Here is a 19,809-nt window from a genome sequence, read left to right on the forward strand (position 1 = left end):
TCACTAAATAAAATTAGAAATGCATTTCTTTGTCAGTCAAATAAATAATAATCCACTCTGGCTTTTTCACCTGAGAAGAAAGTATGTTTTGGTTAGTAAAGGTCATCAGAGAAAACTCAATCTACCCACCAAAGTTAATTTGATTTATTCTGCCATAAACTCACACTCAAAAAGCAAACACTGAGAACTACAATGAAAATTAGGAACTAAAAGAGAGAGCAAACTAAATGGTATCAAATACTATGCTAGCCTACAGTGTTTATATAAGACATTAATTTAACCGGAAATAAAAATGATTGAGGAGGTAATTTCACATTTGTTAAAAAATTGAACTTTTCCCACCAAGATTCCTGTCTCAAAGATGGATGCTGCCATTTGACATGTGAATATATATGCTATCTAGCCATCCTTCCTGTTTAATTGAGCCACACCTAGCAATGGATACCAGTATCAAGAGAGCAGAGCCAAGCCCTTAAGGCACAACTCCGATCTCTGCACAGTGAATCATGAAAATAAATACCCCTGAAGAACAGTCTAATTTTTCCCCCCAAAACAATTTGTGTTTTCTAGGGAGAATGGCTCAGAAAAAAAAAAAAGAAAAAAAGAAAAAAACAACAAATTTGTGGATACAAGTTGTCTATGAGAAGTACATCTAGCTACTTGTGATGATAAATTTGTAACCCACAGAATAAATGGCACCAACTCTATGACAAAACTGGTCATTGAAGAAACTTCTTTACTAGACAATGTGAAAGAGACAGAAAAAAGGAAAGAACCATCCAAAGAATCAAATTTGACTCTGATGGCAGGGTTTGGTTAAAAGCCATCTGACAGAGTTTAAAACTACTGTGACAATTTTGTGATAATAGCAGTTTAAATCGCTATACAAATGTGTACTCAATTCATATTTGTTAAAGCCTCCAAGTCTAAATCTCCAATTGAAAGCCTAGTAAAGAAGACCATTTGAAATAGGCCCAGAAAAAAGTAAGGGCCAGCAGCTGCTCTATCCAATTCAACACATAATTTGAACATGTAAACTTTGATCAGATTAATTCTATTCCTTCGTTCATTTCATTCATTTATTTGTTCATGTATTCGTCAAATACTCTCTCCTGCAAACAGAGTTAAATTTTTACAAGGAGAGAACAAGAGTGAGACCCTCCTGCCCCTTCCTCTCCTTGGACAAGAGTCTTGATATCCCACGGCAAGGATTTCTAATTGAAGTCATGACTGGATTATGAGGAATCCTAACAATAAGACTTGGGTTAAGAAAAGCATTTTTAAACTTTTATTTGTTTCTTATATCCTTTAACATGACTCATGTCATGAGTCTCACTAAGTCTGTGTAGACATTTTTTGAGGTATGACTGACAAAAAATTGTCTATATTTAAGGTATACAAGATGACGTTTTTATAAAAGTATACTTTGTGTAATGACTCACAGTCAAGCTAATTAGCATATCCATCACCTGACATGCTTCGTGTGTGTGTGTGTGTGTGTGTGTGTGTGTGTGTGTGTGTGTGTATGTGTGTGTTGAAAACACTTAAGATCTGCTCCCTTGGCAAATCTGAAGTACACAACACATTAACTATAGTTACCATGCTGTACACTAGATCACTAGAATTCATTCACCCTGTAACTAAAATTTTGTATCCTCTGACCGACATCTCCCCATCTTCCCCACTTCCCAGCCCCTGGCAACTACCATTCCACTCTTTTTCTCCAAGTTTGACTAGTTTAGATGTCACATATAAGTAATATCATGCAATATTTGTCTTTCTGTGTCTGGCTTCTTTCACTTAGCATAATGTCCCCAGATTCCTCCATGCTGTTGCAAATGGCAGGATTTCCTTCTTTTTTAAGGCTGAATAATATTCTGCTGTACACACATACCACAATTTCTTTATCCATTCATCCAGTGGTGGGCACTTAATATGGGTTTCCATATCTCGGCTATTGTGAATAATGCTGCAATTAACATGGGAGTGCAGACATTTTATTCTACCTGTAAATTCAGTCTACTCCATCATTATCATTACTAGGCAGTGGCATTTCTAAACAAGAAAATAACATTTTGAGGTTATGAAAACACTTGACCATTAACAAGTACCAGCAACATGATTATAATCAAATAAAAAATTCTGATTGCCCTAGGGGCTTGGTTCTGTGACTTCTTTGACCAAAAAAATAATAATAATTGCGAATTAGTTGTTTGGTTTGAATTGAGCAATAAAGGACTCTCAGCTTTAACTGTAAAATGGATAGAAATGCCGTTGATGTGGAGAGTCACTGTAAGGACTAAGTAAGGCAACACGTAGTTGGTAATCAATGAACGGGAAGCACTGTGACTGCAGTGGACAATACAGTGCAATGAAAGCTGGGGAAGAGCGAGAATCGAGGACTGGCTCTCCAGGCAGGGTGTGAATGCTGTGAGAAGCTGGCAACAATGAACCCTGAGAAAAAGGACAGGGGACAACTGGAGGTACTTAGTTGGGGAGAGCAGCTTTCTAGGATGGATATGAGTATATCTTCAGGCAGGGATAGGCATTATAAACAGAAGTGGGAATGGCTGATGGAGAAATGTCTTAGATCAAAAAAAGGGGAAGAGAGAAGACCAGAACAAAAGAGAGGAATTAGGAAAAAAAGAAGAGACCCCTTTTCCTCAGAAATAAAATTAAAGGAAGGCTGGGCGTGGTGGCTCACGCCTGTAATCCCAGCACTTTAGGAGGCCAAGGCAGGTGGATCACCTGAGGTCAGGAGTTCCACACCAGCCTGACCAACATGGTGAAACCCCATCTCTACTAAAAATACAAAAATTAGCCGGGCATGGTAGCACACGTCTGTAATCCCAGCTACTTGGGAGGCTGAGGCAGGAGAATCGCTTGAACCCAGGAGGTGGAGGTTGCAGTGAGCCGAGATCACACCACTGCACTCCAGCCTGGGCAACAGAGCGAGACTCCATCTCAAAAAAAAAAAAAGAAGAAGAAGAAGAAAGAAAATTAAAGGAATACAGAAAAGAGATGAAGAGAAGGCAGTAAACCCAGGAAGAGGCCATGATCCTCTCCATGAAGAAAAAGGCAAGATCACCTGCAAAGCACAGTAGTGGGAAAGGTTTGGTACAACCATCACAGAGAATACATCCTTACAGAGAGAGCAAGAGATTTGATCTCATATGACAACTCTAATGAGCTGGCTTGGGGTATTGTACTGAGAAGAACTCTGAGTTCTGCAGAAGAGGGCAGCCACAGGTACAGGAGGGGTCAGTGGCAGGCATGTCAACTACGTGCCATCCCTATAACAGGGAACTGAAGCCAGCTGAGTTACATTTCTCCTGGATAGCAATAGGGGTATTGTCTGACCTGAGTGACAGGCATACCAGATCTCTGCATGAAATGGAAGGCATTCTGGAATGACACAGGACCAGGGTGGGGGAACTGAGTACAGAAGACAGATTCTGGTAGCCCAAACACTTTGGTCACATAGAGATCAGTTTCTGCCTGTACTGTGACATGGTCCCATTCTGGGATCAAGGCCGGCACCAGGGGATCTAAGCAAGAGGATCCAGGAAGGTGGATAGCAGAGTTTAGAGATTTCTCAGACATCACACTTGATGAGAGAGAGAGAGAGAGACAGAGAGAGAGAGAGAGAGAGAGAAACACTAATTCACTGTGGAATGTATGATGGGGAGGCAGACACATTAAAGAAAGAAGGCAAGTGGTAAGTAAGCTTCAGATCTCAGATCGGCCAAGAGCAGGTCCAAGCACCTGAGCCCACTTAACAGTGCAGGCCCTGCAGTATGGGTCAGAACAAAGGGCGGGGGCCTTGGACAGAGGCCTAAGTGAAGATAAGGAGGAAAAAGTGGTGTCAACATTGATTCTTGGGCTTAATGGTAGCTAAGGAGACTAGAGGTGTGGCATGTGGAGGACATGGCACTGGGAGAAAGGAGGAGGGTCGGGAATAATGACAAGAGTCCAGGATTCATGTCTAGCCACCGGTAACCAGTCCTGGGATTTTAAAATTCTAAAAACTCCATGAGTGGGAGGCAGGTAAAAGTGAGTGATAAACAGGCAGAGTAGGGGGGAGAGTAAAGGGTATTAGTATTAGTACTTGTTCTGCCTTTCCTGGGGCTGGCTTAGGAAATGGGTGAGCCAGTCTACCAAAGGAGCCATCATCAGTAGCTTCAAGGGCTGGGGTAGGCAGAGGCAAGAGCGAGTGCAGGAACTACGAGGCTTCACAGTAAGTCTATAGTGGATTTAATCACTGCTTTGCCCTGATTTTCTCCAGCAGCAGGTTGCAACCAAGGAGAGAAGAAGAGCAGATAATGTGGCCCAGCTGGAATTTATAAAACACAATGCTAAACTCACAGTAACTGATTAAAGACTCTTCCAAGTGAATCAAAGTATAATCCTCCCTTATGAAGAGAAAGTCATGAATTTCGTTTAGCACTCCCACTCCAGTTAAAATTATGATAAAACTCCTCTCAGCAATTTTCAATATATTTGATTTTTATAATTTATTTGGCAAATCCTTTGGTCTTGTGATATAATTCCATAGGCAAGATGCGTAACACATGGGTTCCTATCAGAGCAATCTGAACTGGAATGCCTTCTACAGTTTGATGGATATAAATGTTGCATCAGCTTCCTTTTGTATATTTTTTCAAATGAAATCTCAAGTATAACAATCCAAACCAAACCACTTCATAGGAACAGGGAAAAGCCATATAATCATGCAACCAGTGCATCAAGAATGCTCTTAGGGCAGAGTGAATAGGCCTTGCTTCCTGGTGTTTATGCTAGGCAATGGAGGGACACAAAAGCATGCTTCCTACCTTCAGGGTCTCTAACGCTGTTAAAAGAAGTGAGAAAGGAATATGACAGTGATTAAGAGCATAAGCTGGAAAGGCAGCCTCCTTCGGTTTGAATCTTGGTTCCATCAGTCACCAGCTGGTGACCTTGAGCAAGTCTTTAGACCTCTCTGAGCTTTTCCCTCATGTGTAAAATGGGGACAGACGGAGCCCAACCCAAGATGTTCCTGTGAGGATCCGTTCAGCACAGTGCCTGGCACATGGAAAACACTTAGTAAATATTAGTTGCCAGTGGTGTTGCGGTTGCTACCATTAAATATGTCAATATGGCAAGTGTTATAGGAGTTCTACAGAAGAGGAAAGATATTTTGTGGGCTGGAGTGATAAAGAAAGGCTACATAGGGCCGGGCGTGGTGGCTCACACCTGTGATCCCAGCACTCCGGGAGTCCGAGGAGGGTGGATCACTTGAGGTCAGGGGTTTGAGACCGGCCTGGCCAACATGGTGAAACCCCATCTCTACTATAAATACAAAAATTAGCTGCGCATAGTGGTGGGCGCCTGTAATCCCAGCTACTTGGGAGGCTGAGGCAGGAGAATCACTTGAACCTGGGAGGCAGAGGTTGCAGTGAGCCGAGGTCGCGCCACTGAACTCCAGTCTAGGTGACAAAGTGAGACTCTGTCTAAAAAAAAAAAAAGAAAAGAAAGAAAGAAAAGAAAGGCTACATAGAAGAATGTTCAGCTAAGGAATGGATACCATTCAGATATGTGGATGGGGTAGTGGGAGGAAGAGGAAAGAGAGCAGTGAACCTGCCATAAACAAAAATGCTAGGAGAGAAATGAGACAGTATATGGCAAGAAGACCAGAAAGGCGGAGTAGGATGAAATACTGGGGGACATGCAAAAAAGGCACAGCCATTTCTGTCTATATGGCCTTGTATGTTTCTGTCTGTAGGGGCCTTGTATGTCAGGCTAAGGAATCTAGACATTATTTGGTAGGGAATAAAAAGCTATTGAAGTTAGGAAGTAACATAAATAGAGATGATAATTTACTCAAATTATCCAAAATTTAACTAGGGTAGGCCAGTGATTTTCAAACTTTAATGTGCATATGAATCACCTAGGAATATTAAACATGTCTGACTCAGTACCTTTGGAGTGGGGCCTGAGATTAGGCGTTGCTAATAAGCTCCCTGATGCTGATGCCACTGGTCTTTGGAGAACTCTTTGAATGTCAAGGATGCATTTATCTGAGGTAGCCTGATGGAGGAGAACGATGGGGTAGGAGGTAGGCAGACAAGATGGCCAGACATAAGGCAACAAACTCATAGGTTGCTGTCATCGATAAAAATGTAGTACTGGAAATCTTTGGTCTTGATTTTAGTCTATACATAAGGTGGACAATCAAAACTTTGATGTAATTCTTAATTCCTGGCCTACTTTGTCATGGCATTTTAAAACAATTGTTAAGTATCTCATAAAATGTGTATTTTATTAAATACAGATTTCTCTTATTTTATAAATATGACATTCAATATTACCAAAATTCCACCTAGAAGTTAGCTATCTACTACAAAAGAAAAACACGAGAAATTGATTCCTTTTTCTATAAAGGAAATGGCATGAATACATTCATGATGTGTGGCTATTAATAACTTCAAGGATGACTGAAAGGGTTAGCAACATTTGGTCATAGAAGGAAACCATGGCAGCAGTTTCCTATGTGACAGCTGAATTAAAAGAAAAATAGCCCTCATGCTATTACAGCAAGAACAGCATATTCAGCCATATATGTAGATGAGGAATTGGATACATCGGCCACAACACTTGCTATAGTGACATCCCAAAAACTAAACCCAGGGTTGGGTAGCTGTCAAACCCAGTAATTTCCTCTTGAGAACAGTCTTTGTCACACTGACAGACCACATCTATATTCATGCTGTGGTGGATTCTGAATAATATCTGTGGTATGCAGGGAAAATAAAGGAGACGGCCATGCCATTCTCCATGATAGATGACGCCACCAGTGAATTTCAGAGCTGGAGAAGCCTGCCAGATTGTATAACACAACACCCTTTTTTCTCAGATGACAGTGCAGTCCAGAGAGGTTCACTGATTTGTGGAAAAATGGGTCAGAGGCAGAGCTGGGCCTAGAACTCATCCTGGGGCTTGACTAGACTCCTGACCTTAACATGGTGCCAGTGTGGTATTTAAAGAGTAAAACAAATAATAGTAATAAAAAGCCTGTGGTTTTTTTTCCAATGAAATAAGCCATTCATTTACATAAGATGAAGTCATCTATTCAAGACCTACAAAACTGTGCTACGGGTGTGGGGAGTGTGATGATGAATACCCTACTATGCCTTCTCACGTTTAGCTTCCATTCTGACACTGGAAATAACACATGGGTACAAATAACTATGAAAAAGCATGAAGAAGAAAGATATTTATGAAAGATTAGGAGTTTAAAGCAGAAGGTGAAGACAATTTCCTTTTTGGGGGTTGCAAGGTGGCAGAGTAGGGCCGGCTTTCAAGATAAGAAATATCTTAACAGCTGGGCCTTGAAGGATGAATCGAATTTGTATCCGGATGGGTTTAACATGAGAGAGGACTTCAAAATCTGAGCTTCCTAAATGTGAAGAGACTAAATATTCCTTCCAATCTAATAATATATCCTTCATAAGTTAGCTTAAATGAAGAAACCAAAATAACATAATCTATTTGAAAATCTATGTAACAAAGTCATCTTCTCTACTTGCTTCCTGGTCCAGTTTCTGAGTTTCAATTCCTCCATTTCTAAAGTTCATACTGGTAAAAAGAGACAATCAAAATCAATTAAGAACCCTCTGAAAAATTGGTATTTTCTTAAAATGACTAGAACATAATTATTTCTATAGCTGAATTTTTAAAGTACAGTTTTATTCAATATATCACATGTGAAAATCCCTAGAAGTCCCTCAGAGAGGAAATTCTGAGGTCAGCTTGAAAAGCTTACACACATTCATACTCCCCATCTTATAAGCATGTGCAACAGGACAATCAGAAAAGGGAATCTCTGACAATATAATTTTGAAACAAAACCATTGAAATAAAAACTAAAGCATTTCCATTCCAGAGAAGACACAAAATTTCATGAAATAAAAGTTGGGACCTCAAGAAGTCTACTTCTTCGGTCATGCCATTCACACAGAAGGTATAGCTGATGACTGTTATCTATGTATGGCTACAAAGAATGAAATATGATTTGTAGGTGTTTTTATGGATGTTTCTATACCTGGAAGCAGGCAGATACTCAAAGACCAATAGTCATAGTCACTAAATTAGGTACTCATTTTAATAACTGTGATCTTACTGAAGTTGCATGATCATACACAGAATCATTCTGAAGCACAAAATAATGACTGGAAATTTTCTCTTGTTAGAGATGGACCAGGAAAATGATACTCCACAAGTTGGCTGCTGGCAGAAAGGAATTATGGGAAGCTAAAAATTACAGTGAGAAATAACATTTCAAAAGAGACGCAAATGACTTGAAAAAGTAAATGTTCTCTGAAATCACTTTCCTTTAGGCCCTCAGCTCTGTAAGACTCTTCCAATCAGCATAACAGAAGAGCCTATTTGTTTTACCCAAGCTGGTGACAGTCCTTACCCCTATAATGGCTGTGATATAACATCTATATAATTTTTCTGCCAAGGGAATATCCATCACTCCCTTTTACAATTGCATTCCTAAGACCCAGCCCCCACTAATACTCTGATTTTGAAAATATCTTATTCAACAAGCAATGACATTCTCATTTTCACCCAATTTCTAATATTCAAAAAAGGAGAGTTAGATGTCCTATGTCCTTTGACCTTCCCTTGTGTAATATGAAGAAAGGGATTCTTACACCAAAAATATCAGGATATAACTTTAAACGTCTCCAGTCATGATGGGAGCATTTGGTGCCTCGATATTGCCACTTTACATCATCATGTGGCAATCTGCCTGTGCACTCAGGATCTTGGACGCTGGGTCAGGGCATGGACCTTATGCACATTCACATTTCATCTCATGACTGGGAAGCAAAAGCAGCTTCCCAGAGCTTTTTGCCAACTGACAGGTGGTGGGAATGTACAAATAGCAGTGCTTACAATGAGATGGAGAAGGTTCCTAGGCATGGAGAAGTAAACATATCCATGCAGAGAAAAATGCCAGCCAGAAATACCACAGGGTGTTGATGGCAGGCAAAGTCAAGAAAGAACTTTAAGTCAGCTTCCTGATGACAGCCGAAGTTAAATCATGCACTGAAAATGCCTCTGAAATAAAGCAAAAAGAGACCACCAGAGATTAATTCATGAAAATCACATGTAGACAGAGGAAAATGGAAAGCAAAGCCACATGTGGCTATGAAGCTCCTGACTGCATTTTAAAGGACTCTTTCCTAGTTTATGAGAAATAAATTAAACCACGAAGAAAACAGAATTTTACTGTCACAGGGTATTTGGAATAAGTGGCAATGGACCAACGATTATTTATTAACTGCAGTGCAAAAGGCAACATGCCAAGGACAGTGGCGATTACAGATATAAGTCCATAAACTCAAAGAACTTGTACTAATTTATGGGGATAATCATAAACACTGTGTTTTCATTTATCAAGTAAGTGAATGAAAAAATACATAACAATAAATACTATCAACATTTAAGGAAAGAAGACTGTACAATGCAGAGAAAGAAAGGCTTTATTGAGGAGGACCTTTAAAGATGGTTTAAACCTGGACAGGTAAGAGTAGAGAAAGGCACTGCAAACAGAATGAAGCATAAATGCACATCACATAATCAAAGGAACAAGTACCACGCCAAGGGAAACACAGGAATTTGGGACTGATGTAAGATGAGTTTGAAAAGGGGACCAGATGTTGGAAAAGAGACCAGATGTTGGAAAGCCAGGTTAAAGAGTTTTAACTATACCCCTTAGAGTCACTGAAGATTTCTGAACATGAAAAACAAAAGATAGCACTACAAAATTTTCAGTCAGTTTTATTAGTGTTAAAGAGGAAAGATGTTTCTTACTTAACTTTTAATTGCTCAAAACACCCTATTATCTAACATTAATTCTATAGTACAAACAGTACTATAGTACAAACAGCTCTTATGTCTCTTGAACTTCTGCCATTTTTAATGGGTAGAAATTCTGACTAAAAATGAAACATCATCTTTGATACAGTACACAAACACACAAATTGTGACTACCAGCTCTAAGAGGAATACAAAGTTATGTTTCTTTCTTTTTTTTTTTTTTTGAGATGGAGTCTTGCTCTGTCACCCAGGCTGGAGTGCAATGGCGCAGCCTGGGCTCACTGCAACCTCCGCCTCCCGGGTTCAAGCGATTCTCCTGCCTCAGCCTCCTGGGTAGCTGGGTCTACAGGCACGTGCCACCACACCCAGCTAATTTTTGTATTTTCAGTAGAGACAAGTTTTTTTTTGAGACAGAGTCTTGCTCCGTCGCCCAGGTTGGAGTGCAGTGGCGTGATCTCGGCTCACTGCAACCCCCGCCTCCAAAGTTCAAGCAATTCTTGTGCCTCAGCCTCCTGAGTAGCTGGGATTACAGGTATGCACCACCATGCTGGGATAATTTTTTTTATTTTTAGTAGAGACGGGGTTTCACCATGTTGGCCAGGCTGGTCTCAAGTGACCCACTCGTCTCGGCCTCCCAAAGTGTTGGATTACAGGCATGAGCCACCGCACCCACCCGAAAGTTTTAAGTTTCAAACACTGAAAAAAGTCTCAAATTTTGAAATCCAAGTATTAAAGATTTTATAATATCTTTAGACATAACAAATGAGTAGCAATTTTGAATTTTGTATATGAGATATCCCTTGGTTTATGAAAGTAATTTGTTCCTCACAACTTTTCTCTTGGTAGAAAACTTGCTTTCATTAATTTATGTGGAAAAAGTTATAATTAGTTTCCCCCAAGCAATCACTCATTTAAAAATAAAATCTGAAAAATCACTGTTTCCCCTAATAAAACAAAGACCTCTATAAAACAAGAGCTGAAAGTAGGTAGGGGAGCTACTACAAAATAACAAGATACAGCAAAATAACAAAAGGATATGAGACATCAGCAGATACAGCTCAAGAAAGAAATGTAAGAGAAAAGTAAAACCAAAACAGAAAAAGAAAAATGCCAAATTGGATGCAGCACAAAGGAGAATAGATATTGTTGAAAATACACGAAGAGACATGGTAATATACTAAGAGCAAAGCAAGCAATTAAAATAAAAATTAGCAAAAAACTTAAAAGGACTTCCAAAATAGGCATAACCAATGTTCTCAAAGAAAAAGAATGTGACTCAAAAATGTTAGCATTCAATCCATTACATATTTTTATTCAAATACAATGACCCAGATAAGCATTTTTGAACATGAAAGACAGTGGGGAATATAATTCTTATGACCCCTACTTGAGGATAAACTTCAGCTAAACAGAAACCATAGCAAAAGGCCTGGAGGTGAGCTTTGAATTCATTCAACTGTAGAGCTATGACTAAAACAAAACAGGAGATTATGATTGCACAACAGAATGTCAACGTTATGAACCCTAATAATATGTTTTCTAAAAAAACACATTGCTTTCATTAATGATAAAATCACTAAAGTAAACATCACCAGAATACCTAGGCAACAATTCACAAACCTTACAAAATTATTTTACATTTAGTTCTCACTTTCAGAATTAATGAATGATACACCAGTGTTCTATTAAATTATAAAGTGAAATGATTCCTTGATGCCTATGTCCAAGTCTCTTTCTTTGGATTGTTTTTGTTGTTTGATTGGTTGAATTGCTGTTGTTTGGTTTGTAAAATTAAAGTGTAATACGGGCAAGTACTTCCGAAAGAGCCTACTCTTGATCTCTAGAAATTTCTTTGGGAAGAATCTGGCAGTCACTGAATTGAAGACTATAAAAACTTATTCAGTCATTCAAGCCACAGAGGACCCCGGCCTAATTAGAATTCTCCCTCTCTAGCTGCCTTCTCCTAGTGCTTTTCAGAGATCAGCTTTTTTTCTGGACCTGTGTAGTGAATTGTGGACCTGGGTAAAGAAACCCATACATGCTAGTCAATTAAGTGAAAAGCTACTCAAGCGTCTCAAAAAGTGAACGTCTAACCTTGGAAACATTAAATAATTTTGCATCACTAATAGCCTCAGCAGCTGATTTTTTTATTATTGAAAATTGTTTGCATGACTGAAATAAGGATATGTGTGATATGTTAGACATCTCTGTTTCTTTGGCCTACTTCAATTTACACAAACAGGAAATATTTTTCCAGTTCGCAACTTCCTTTAATATGTGTTATTCTTTTTTTTTTTTTGAGACGGAGTCTCGCTCTTGTTGCCCAGGCTGAAGTGCAGTGGCACGATCTCGGCTCACTACAACTTCGACCTCCCGGGTTCAAGCGATTCTACTGCCTCAGCCTCCTGAGTAGCTGGGATTACAGGCGCCCACCACCACGCCCAGCTAATTCTTGTACTTTTTAGTATAGATGGAGTTTCGCCATGTTGGCCAGGCTGGTCTGGAACTCCTGACTTCAGGTGATCCGCCCGCCTCGGCCTCCCAAAGTGCTGGGATTACAGGTGCAAGCCACCATGCCTGACCGTGTTATTCATTATTTAGTCTAACTTTGGGATTGTGATATTATAAAAATACAGTTGAGAGTTTAAAAAGCCCATATTCAGTCAACAAAGTATCTTCTTTGGCTGTATGTTACAGTGGTTTCCAAACTGTTTTGGTCTCACAACCCTAGGAAGTACAAGATTTGTGGGCATATACTCCACAACATGAATATACTTATTTATAGAGGAGCACATATGTTATTATATTAATATACTATGTACATGGTTAAAGTATAGAAATTTCTAAAGAATTAAAGATAAAATATTTTATTAATGGCAAATAACTTTCTGATGTCTCTAGAAATTATTAATACTTAACCAGAACAATGTACATTAATATACTCTATTATTTCTGAAAATCTTGGCTTAATATTTTATAAGTGAGCAATTTAAAATTCAATTTGTTTTGATACTTGGTTTTAATGGACAGTATAGGTACCTCATGTAAATACATAGATCTAAATGGGAAAAGCTCATCATGCCACTGACTCCATCCTCTGATAATGCAAAGGTTTAGGAATTTGAAAATTTGTTTTGTTTTCTTAAATTATTATTTTGTTGTTAATGCCAACTAAAATTCAGCTAGTAAAGTCCATCTTTCCTGATATCTTGCTATTGAATTATATATATAATTATGTATGTTTATATATGTTAATCATATATACAATTATTAATAATATATAATTCTGTTGTATATAACTGATTATATTAATTATATAATTATATATTGCATATATAATTAAATAAATGCAATTAATTATATATTATAGATTACATATATAATTAAATAATTATATATTACATATTACATATGCTTAAACATCTATAATTATATATTACATATATACAATTATATACATTTATATAATTCCAATCATAATTATATATTACATATATAGTTCAATATATAATTATATATATAATTCAATAGCTTTAATACATTTTCAAGATATACTCTAACCTATGGAAAGATGGACATATAAATACATACATATATATATATATACACACACACATATTTTTTTTTAGGAGGGTCTTGCTCTGTTGCCCAGGCTGGGGTGCAGGGGTGCAACCTTGGCTCACTGCAGCCTCGAACTTCTGGGCTCAAGAGATCCTCCCATCTCAGCCTCCCAAATAGCTAGCAGCTAGGACTACAGGTATATGCCACCATACCTGGCTAATTTTTGTATTTTGTGTAGAGACAGGGTCTCTGTTGCCCAGGTTGGTCTTGAACTCTTGGCCTCAAGCAGTCCTCCTGCCTTGGCCTCCTAAAGTGCTAGGATTACAGGCATGAACCACCACACCAGGCCGAATTTCTGTTTTTAATAATTGTGTGCTAAAATCACCACAACTTTACAGATTTTTGAGACAGAGTCTCACTCTGTCACCCAGGCTAGAGTGCAGTGGTGTGATCTCAGCTCACAGCAACCTCCGCATCCCAGGTTCAAGTGATTCTCCTGCTTCAGCTTCCCGAGTAGCTGGGACTACAGCGCATGCCACCATGCCCAGCTAATTTTTGTCTTTTTAGTAGACATGGGGTTTCGCCATGTTGGCCAGGCTGGTCTCGAATTCCTGACTTCAGGTGATCCACCTGCCTCGGCCTCCCAAAGTGTGGGGATTACAGATATGAGCCACCATGCCTGGCCAGGACATTCCATTTTAAACATACCAAACATGCAGATATGAATTTTAATAGGTGACATTATGTTTTAAAATAAAATAACATTTTCAAACATCTATTTCAAAAATGTTCTCCCTGTAGCATAGCTTTTCTTCTAAGAAGGTGTTACTTTCTCATTCATCGTTAAAACATTGCCTGTATCTTGAATGGCTATATTTAAAAACATTTTTCAAAAATCTCTATAAGGTAGTATCTACTAAAACCATTTAACACATAAAGTTCATCATATTTGGACAACTGGTCTTTTTGTAAAAAGAAAATGAGTATCAATTTTTAGTTCCTTTGTTAAAAACAACTTTTGTATGGTAGAAGTATATTGATATTCACTACCTATCTCATCACAAAATACAAAGATGCTACATTTTAAAGGATTTGCTTTTACAAAATCAGCTAAGTAATGTTTTCCCATAAGCATTTTGTATGCATCTGGCTTTAACTTCTTTGCTCTTCTTCAATAGCTTGCTCAGTAGCTTGCTTGTCAATGATGCAGCAAATGAATTTCATATATGTCACTGTTAATGATAATGACTGCAAATCTTCATTCAAATAACCTATTTACTAATTTCTATTGAGAAGGGCTGGCTCTGGTCATATTTCATTAAGTTACTTTTATCCCAAATGGGAACATCTGCCAGATGTCCCCCAATATCCATTCTCTCCCCCTCTTCCTTGGTATCAGAACCTCTATTCGTGGGCACATCATTGCCCAGAGCAAAGACTACATTTTCCAAAACCCTTCCCCCTTGCAGCTGTGCATGACCTTGGAACTAAGTTTTGGTCACTGGGTTGTAAGTGGAAATAATATATATCCTGAAAAGGAGTGCATACCTTCTACTTTCTTTTCCTCCTAACCAGCTGGAATTCAGATTTGACTGCTGAAACTTAATATTTGACTGCTGAAACTTAAGCAACCATCTTGAAGCAAGAGGGAGAAGCCAGGTGTTGATACAGCCAGAGCAACAAGAAAAGGGGCAATCTGGATCCTTCCCGACTGTGTGGTCAACATTCGCCCCTGGTTTGCCTATGTTTATATGGCAGAGAAATGAATTTCTATATTTTTTGAGTTTCCGTTCTTTTGGGTTTTCTGGCTCTCGCTGGTGTGCTGAACGCTAATGAATACACCTGTTAACAGGGTTGATGAAGAGCTCATGCTGGGAGTCAGAGAAGAGACAGCTCTGCTGTGTTCTCACGTCAGCATGTGTTTGCACTATTAATATTACCTTCAATCTGCAGTTTCCTAACAAAAACTGCTTTTAAGCCACTTGTCCATTTTGTCAGGATTTGTTCATAAGAACCACATAATATAATCTTTAAATCCACTTTATCAGGTATGTGTGAACAGCAACATGTGTCAGTAGCTTTGAAAGCAAGGGAACAAGGGGGCTACCATCAGGCAACTCCAGCTGTTCTCTCCAGACAACTCAAGAACCACATGTAACCTGTGTTTGTCTGAAATACAGACCATGTGAGGACACCAGCATCCATGCTAAATATTACTAAAGCTCCATTTTCCCTTGGTTCACACGTAAGTATCTGAAGAAGTTCTTTCTTCCTGTTCCTCTCCTGCCCCTACTCATAAGTGCTTGTATGCACCTGCCTGGTGTGCAAGCGCTCCCCCAACTTTACAGTTCACTGTCAGGGGCATGGAAGGACCCATAGCTAACTATAGATTTCCCTCCTGGACCATGACACTATGCTGCAAGAGAAAAATGTTCCAGACTCAAAAATCAGAATAAATAAGTTCTTTCCATAAAGTCAAAAACATGTAAAAGCAAATGGTAAATCAAAAGGTGGTGTACAGAAGGATTTTGATGCCTTACCTGAATACCTCAAGAACAGTCCTTTCCGGTAATTTGGGAGCCACCTGCCTAAATGCTTTTTTGAAATCTTCCAAAGTTAAAAATCCACGATCTATTTGAAAACAATAAAAAATATTCACTTACTTTAATAAGACCTATCAACTGTTACTTCAGCCATAACATTTGTGCAAAACTTATTTTAATATATTACTAGGAGAAAAGCAGTAGTTTACGATTGATTTCACAGATAAGGTAATCTGAGATTGTCTCATCGGAATAATTTAAGATTCTAATAATACTTTCCTTCAGTGCAGTCCCGGCTGATCTTGAAGGTCACTTCTGGCCCTATCATTTTGCTGATTCTCTCAGTACCAGAGATAGCACTATATAGAGACATGCACTCTAACAACGGTGTTAGACTTTGAGTCTTTGCGAGTTGCCAAAACAATGCAGTCTTCAAAATGCATGTTTTTTCCTTTGCGTGGTATTAGAATCATGAAATATTGCTATTTAGAAGGAAACCATAACAGCAGTCAAGACACTGACCCTAGACTCCATGAGTCTTTTCATTCTGTGTATGATCTGTGGGGCCTAGGGGGTCTACAGCCACCCACCCCTCTCAGCCACACCCTATGGGGGAAAACAATTCCACCAATCATATGTAGGTCAGAGCAAGAGTTGATGAAGAAGCCACACGGTCTCCCACACCTCCATAGGTGGCTCATGGCCTATATCCCCCAGGGCCAGTCCTTTTGCAGTCCCCATGACAATCAAGGTACAATATATTAGTACAACTATATAACTGTAAATACTATTTCATCTATGGTAAATGTCAAGAAATCACGACGGAGAAAAAAATGTGCATCAATACCTAAGGTAACAGCTAATGAATACAGTAATATAATCTTCCAAGTATATTATATATTTGATTTACTGGGTATATAATCCTATTTGCAATCCCTTAAAAGTAATTTTTTTTACATCAAAACACTTTAGAGACACTTACAGTAGGTGTCAAAGGCTGTGAAGATGTGTCTTACTTCGTTCCGATATCGTTGAGCTTCCTTCTTTTTCCTGACAATATTTAAAAACCCCTCGAGTAATATACCTAAAAGTTGGGGAAAAAACAATTTGTCAAAGATTATTGTCTTCCTCTTTAAGAAAAAATTAAACAGAAATGGACAGTAATAAATCTCACCAATAATCAAATTTTATCTTAATTTTGGTGAACAGTATTTACTCAAGATCTGTGAAGTTTCCTGAAGACCGAAAAAGGCATTTTGCTAAATGCTAACATTTAACAGATCCAACACTAGAAATCAATAGTGAAAACACAAGACACTTTTAGGGTTCACTGAGCTTTTTCCAGGGGTAAAGGAATGGTGACCTTGAAAAAACTGTAACACTCTTCCCTCTAACAGATCTAATAGGCATGAAACTACTTATTAAACAAGGTCTCATAATTTTTGTTTCCTTATGCTTCTTTGATCCCTTTTTTCCTAGCCAGATGTCACTATGGCAGGTTTTTTTCCAACTGGGAGATCGGGTCAGAGAAGTAGTTTCTTAAAAGTCAATACCAATTGTACACCACAGATAAAGGTGGGGAGAATATTACATAAACAATACAGCTGGCACCATCTCCAGCCCTGGATACGCCCCACAACGTGTGGAGCAGCCTCAGGCTCAGCTTCCTGCGACTCTCATCATAAAAGAGCCCAGCATGATAAAATGAGATTGGATACTGTGCTTACAATGTCTATTAAAACGAATTCTAATGTGATCTTTGTAGTAGGTTTAAAGAGCGAAGCCAAGAATTTAAACATTTTAGTGAACTGAGCTCTACATATATAAAAAGAGTGGTTCATTTTTATAACTCAGAATTTCCATAAAAAAATTATCACTGTTTTAAAAATAGCCTCCAAACATACAATAACCACATGCACATTTTTTCTTTTAGTGATGTAATACTAAGCTGTATACCTTTTCTAAAATAGTTCCAATCATTTAAAAAAATGTAGAAATGATTTTCTTAATTTCCTACATCTTTATTTACATTTAAAGATTTATAAACTGAAAAAGAAATCTGTCTCTTTTTAAATGATTCCTTTTAGGACCTACTATGGGCCAGGCACTGTATTAAGCTTTGGAAATAGAGGGGAAAAGAGAATACACATGATTCCAGTCCCAAGGGAGCTACTGATCTGGTGGGGAAGGCAGTCATTACACAGGTTCAACTGCAAATGCACACCTCATTACAAACTGTGGCATGGGCAATGAGGGGAAAGACAGGAGGTTGTGAAAAAGATTCACAGGAATCCTCATGTCAAGTAGACTCTGGTGACAGAGAGAGCCCTTCAAGGAGGAGATATTTAAGCCAAGACCTAAACCATGAGACAATACCAACTGCCTAATGTTGGGAAGAAGAGCATTGCTGGCAGTAGGAACAGCCTGTGCCGAGGCTGTTGTGTGGCAAGGTGGGAAAATGAAAAAAGGCTGCTGTGGCTGGAACAAAGTGAGCCAGAGAGAAGTGATACAAGATGAGGTTGGGGAGGGCAGCAGGGGCCAAAACTCACAGGCTCTTGTGGGCCACAGTAAATAATTTGGGTTTTATTTAAGTGGCAATAGGAAGTCAACAGAAGGTTTGAATTGGGAAGTTACATGATCTTTCTGGCTATTATCCTGATAAAAGGACGGAGGTGGGGGAGCAAAAATGTAAAAAGAGAGACCAGTTAGGAGCCTACTGGCAAGAGATGTGGTTGCCAGGTTGCTGGCAGTGGGGATGAGAGGAGTGGAAGGTTTCCAGATATATTTTAGAATCTAAATGACATAGCTTGATGAAGAACTAGATGTGGCAGGTGAGAAAGAAAGAGATGTCAAGAATATCCCGTAGATTCTGGCTTGAAGAGCTACTTAAAGAGAGGAGAAAGTCTGGGGGAAGAGCAAAATTGGGGCGAGATGAAGAGTTGCCATTCAGCTGTGTGAAGTGTTCAGTGCTCTGGAGACAACCAAGAGGAGAAGTTCAGGAGGTGGCCGGCTGTCTTCTAGGCAACAGGGCATATCTCCCTCACCTACCAGAGTGCCTGGCAGGTGCTCAATCATACGTACTGTAGCAAATTAGCATATGTAGCATTTTTTTCCATAGTTGTGGGGAATACATATTGATGCAGCTCCATTCTTATCTAATTACCCTTGTGACAGAGAACATAATGACAAATTGTTAGCTGAGGTTAAAATTGAAGTCTAGCTATGCCATGTGCCCATAAGATCATATCCATAACTTTAGCTTCATGAACACCAAAATCTAGTCAATTAAGTAGCATCTAGAGTAGCCGAAATTCTTGAATAATGTATTCACTGATAATGGCATGTCCTAGGAGACCCTTCAGAAACGTACCCCAGTCCACCTCTCAAGGCTTCCTAGTCAACTTCCTGGTGCTTCCCCAAGCCAAGAGGCCCTTTCGCACTCCACACCTTTGCATGTATAGAACACACTGCCTGGAATAATGCACTTTCTCCTTTTTTCTCCTAGTGAATATTTGTATCTCCTTCCAGATGCAACCCAGGCATCATCTCCTGTTTGAATATGTCTCTGATTTCTCTCAGCTAAGTCCTTTTTCTGTGACCCGACGGCCCTTTGTTCATCATGCAATCATAGAAGTGATTAGGATCTACGGTAATTATTTGGCCACATGTCTGCCTGAGACATGCTGAGGGAAAGCAGTGTATAGTGTTCTCAAAATTTTATCCCATGTTTAGCATGATGCCTAGCAGACAGTAGGCATTCATTACATGTTTGCTGAGTAAGTAACATTCAATGAATAATAACAAACAAGATGTTATTTCTAGTTTTTAGCAAAAAGCA

At 38.9% G+C, this 19,809-nt stretch overlaps 1 protein-coding gene across 5 annotated transcripts in view; it reads right to left on the reverse strand.

Moving 5' to 3' along the window:
- EFCAB11 (EF-hand calcium binding domain 11) overlaps nt 1-19,809 on the reverse strand; it is a 160,109-nt gene that overhangs the window by 120,904 nt on the left and 19,396 nt on the right. For 3 of the 5 annotated variants that reach the window (NM_001284267.2, NM_145231.4, NM_001284269.2), the window contains exons 4-5: nt 16,954-17,055; nt 15,969-16,059 (exon numbers count right to left, since the gene is read on the reverse strand). In NM_001284267.2, the coding sequence (NP_001271196.1) occupies nt 15,969-16,059; nt 16,954-17,055 (193 nt within the window). Of the gene's footprint in view, nt 1-7,704; nt 9,106-15,968; nt 16,060-16,953; nt 17,056-19,809 lie in introns of those variants that run through there. The other 2 variants (NM_001284266.2, NM_001284268.2) reach the window with 1 other exon arrangement.

The sequence above is a fragment of the Homo sapiens genome, chromosome 14 (assembly GCF_000001405.40).
Source record: "Homo sapiens chromosome 14, GRCh38.p14 Primary Assembly".
Classification (NCBI taxonomy): Eukaryota; Metazoa; Chordata; class Mammalia; order Primates; family Hominidae; genus Homo; species Homo sapiens.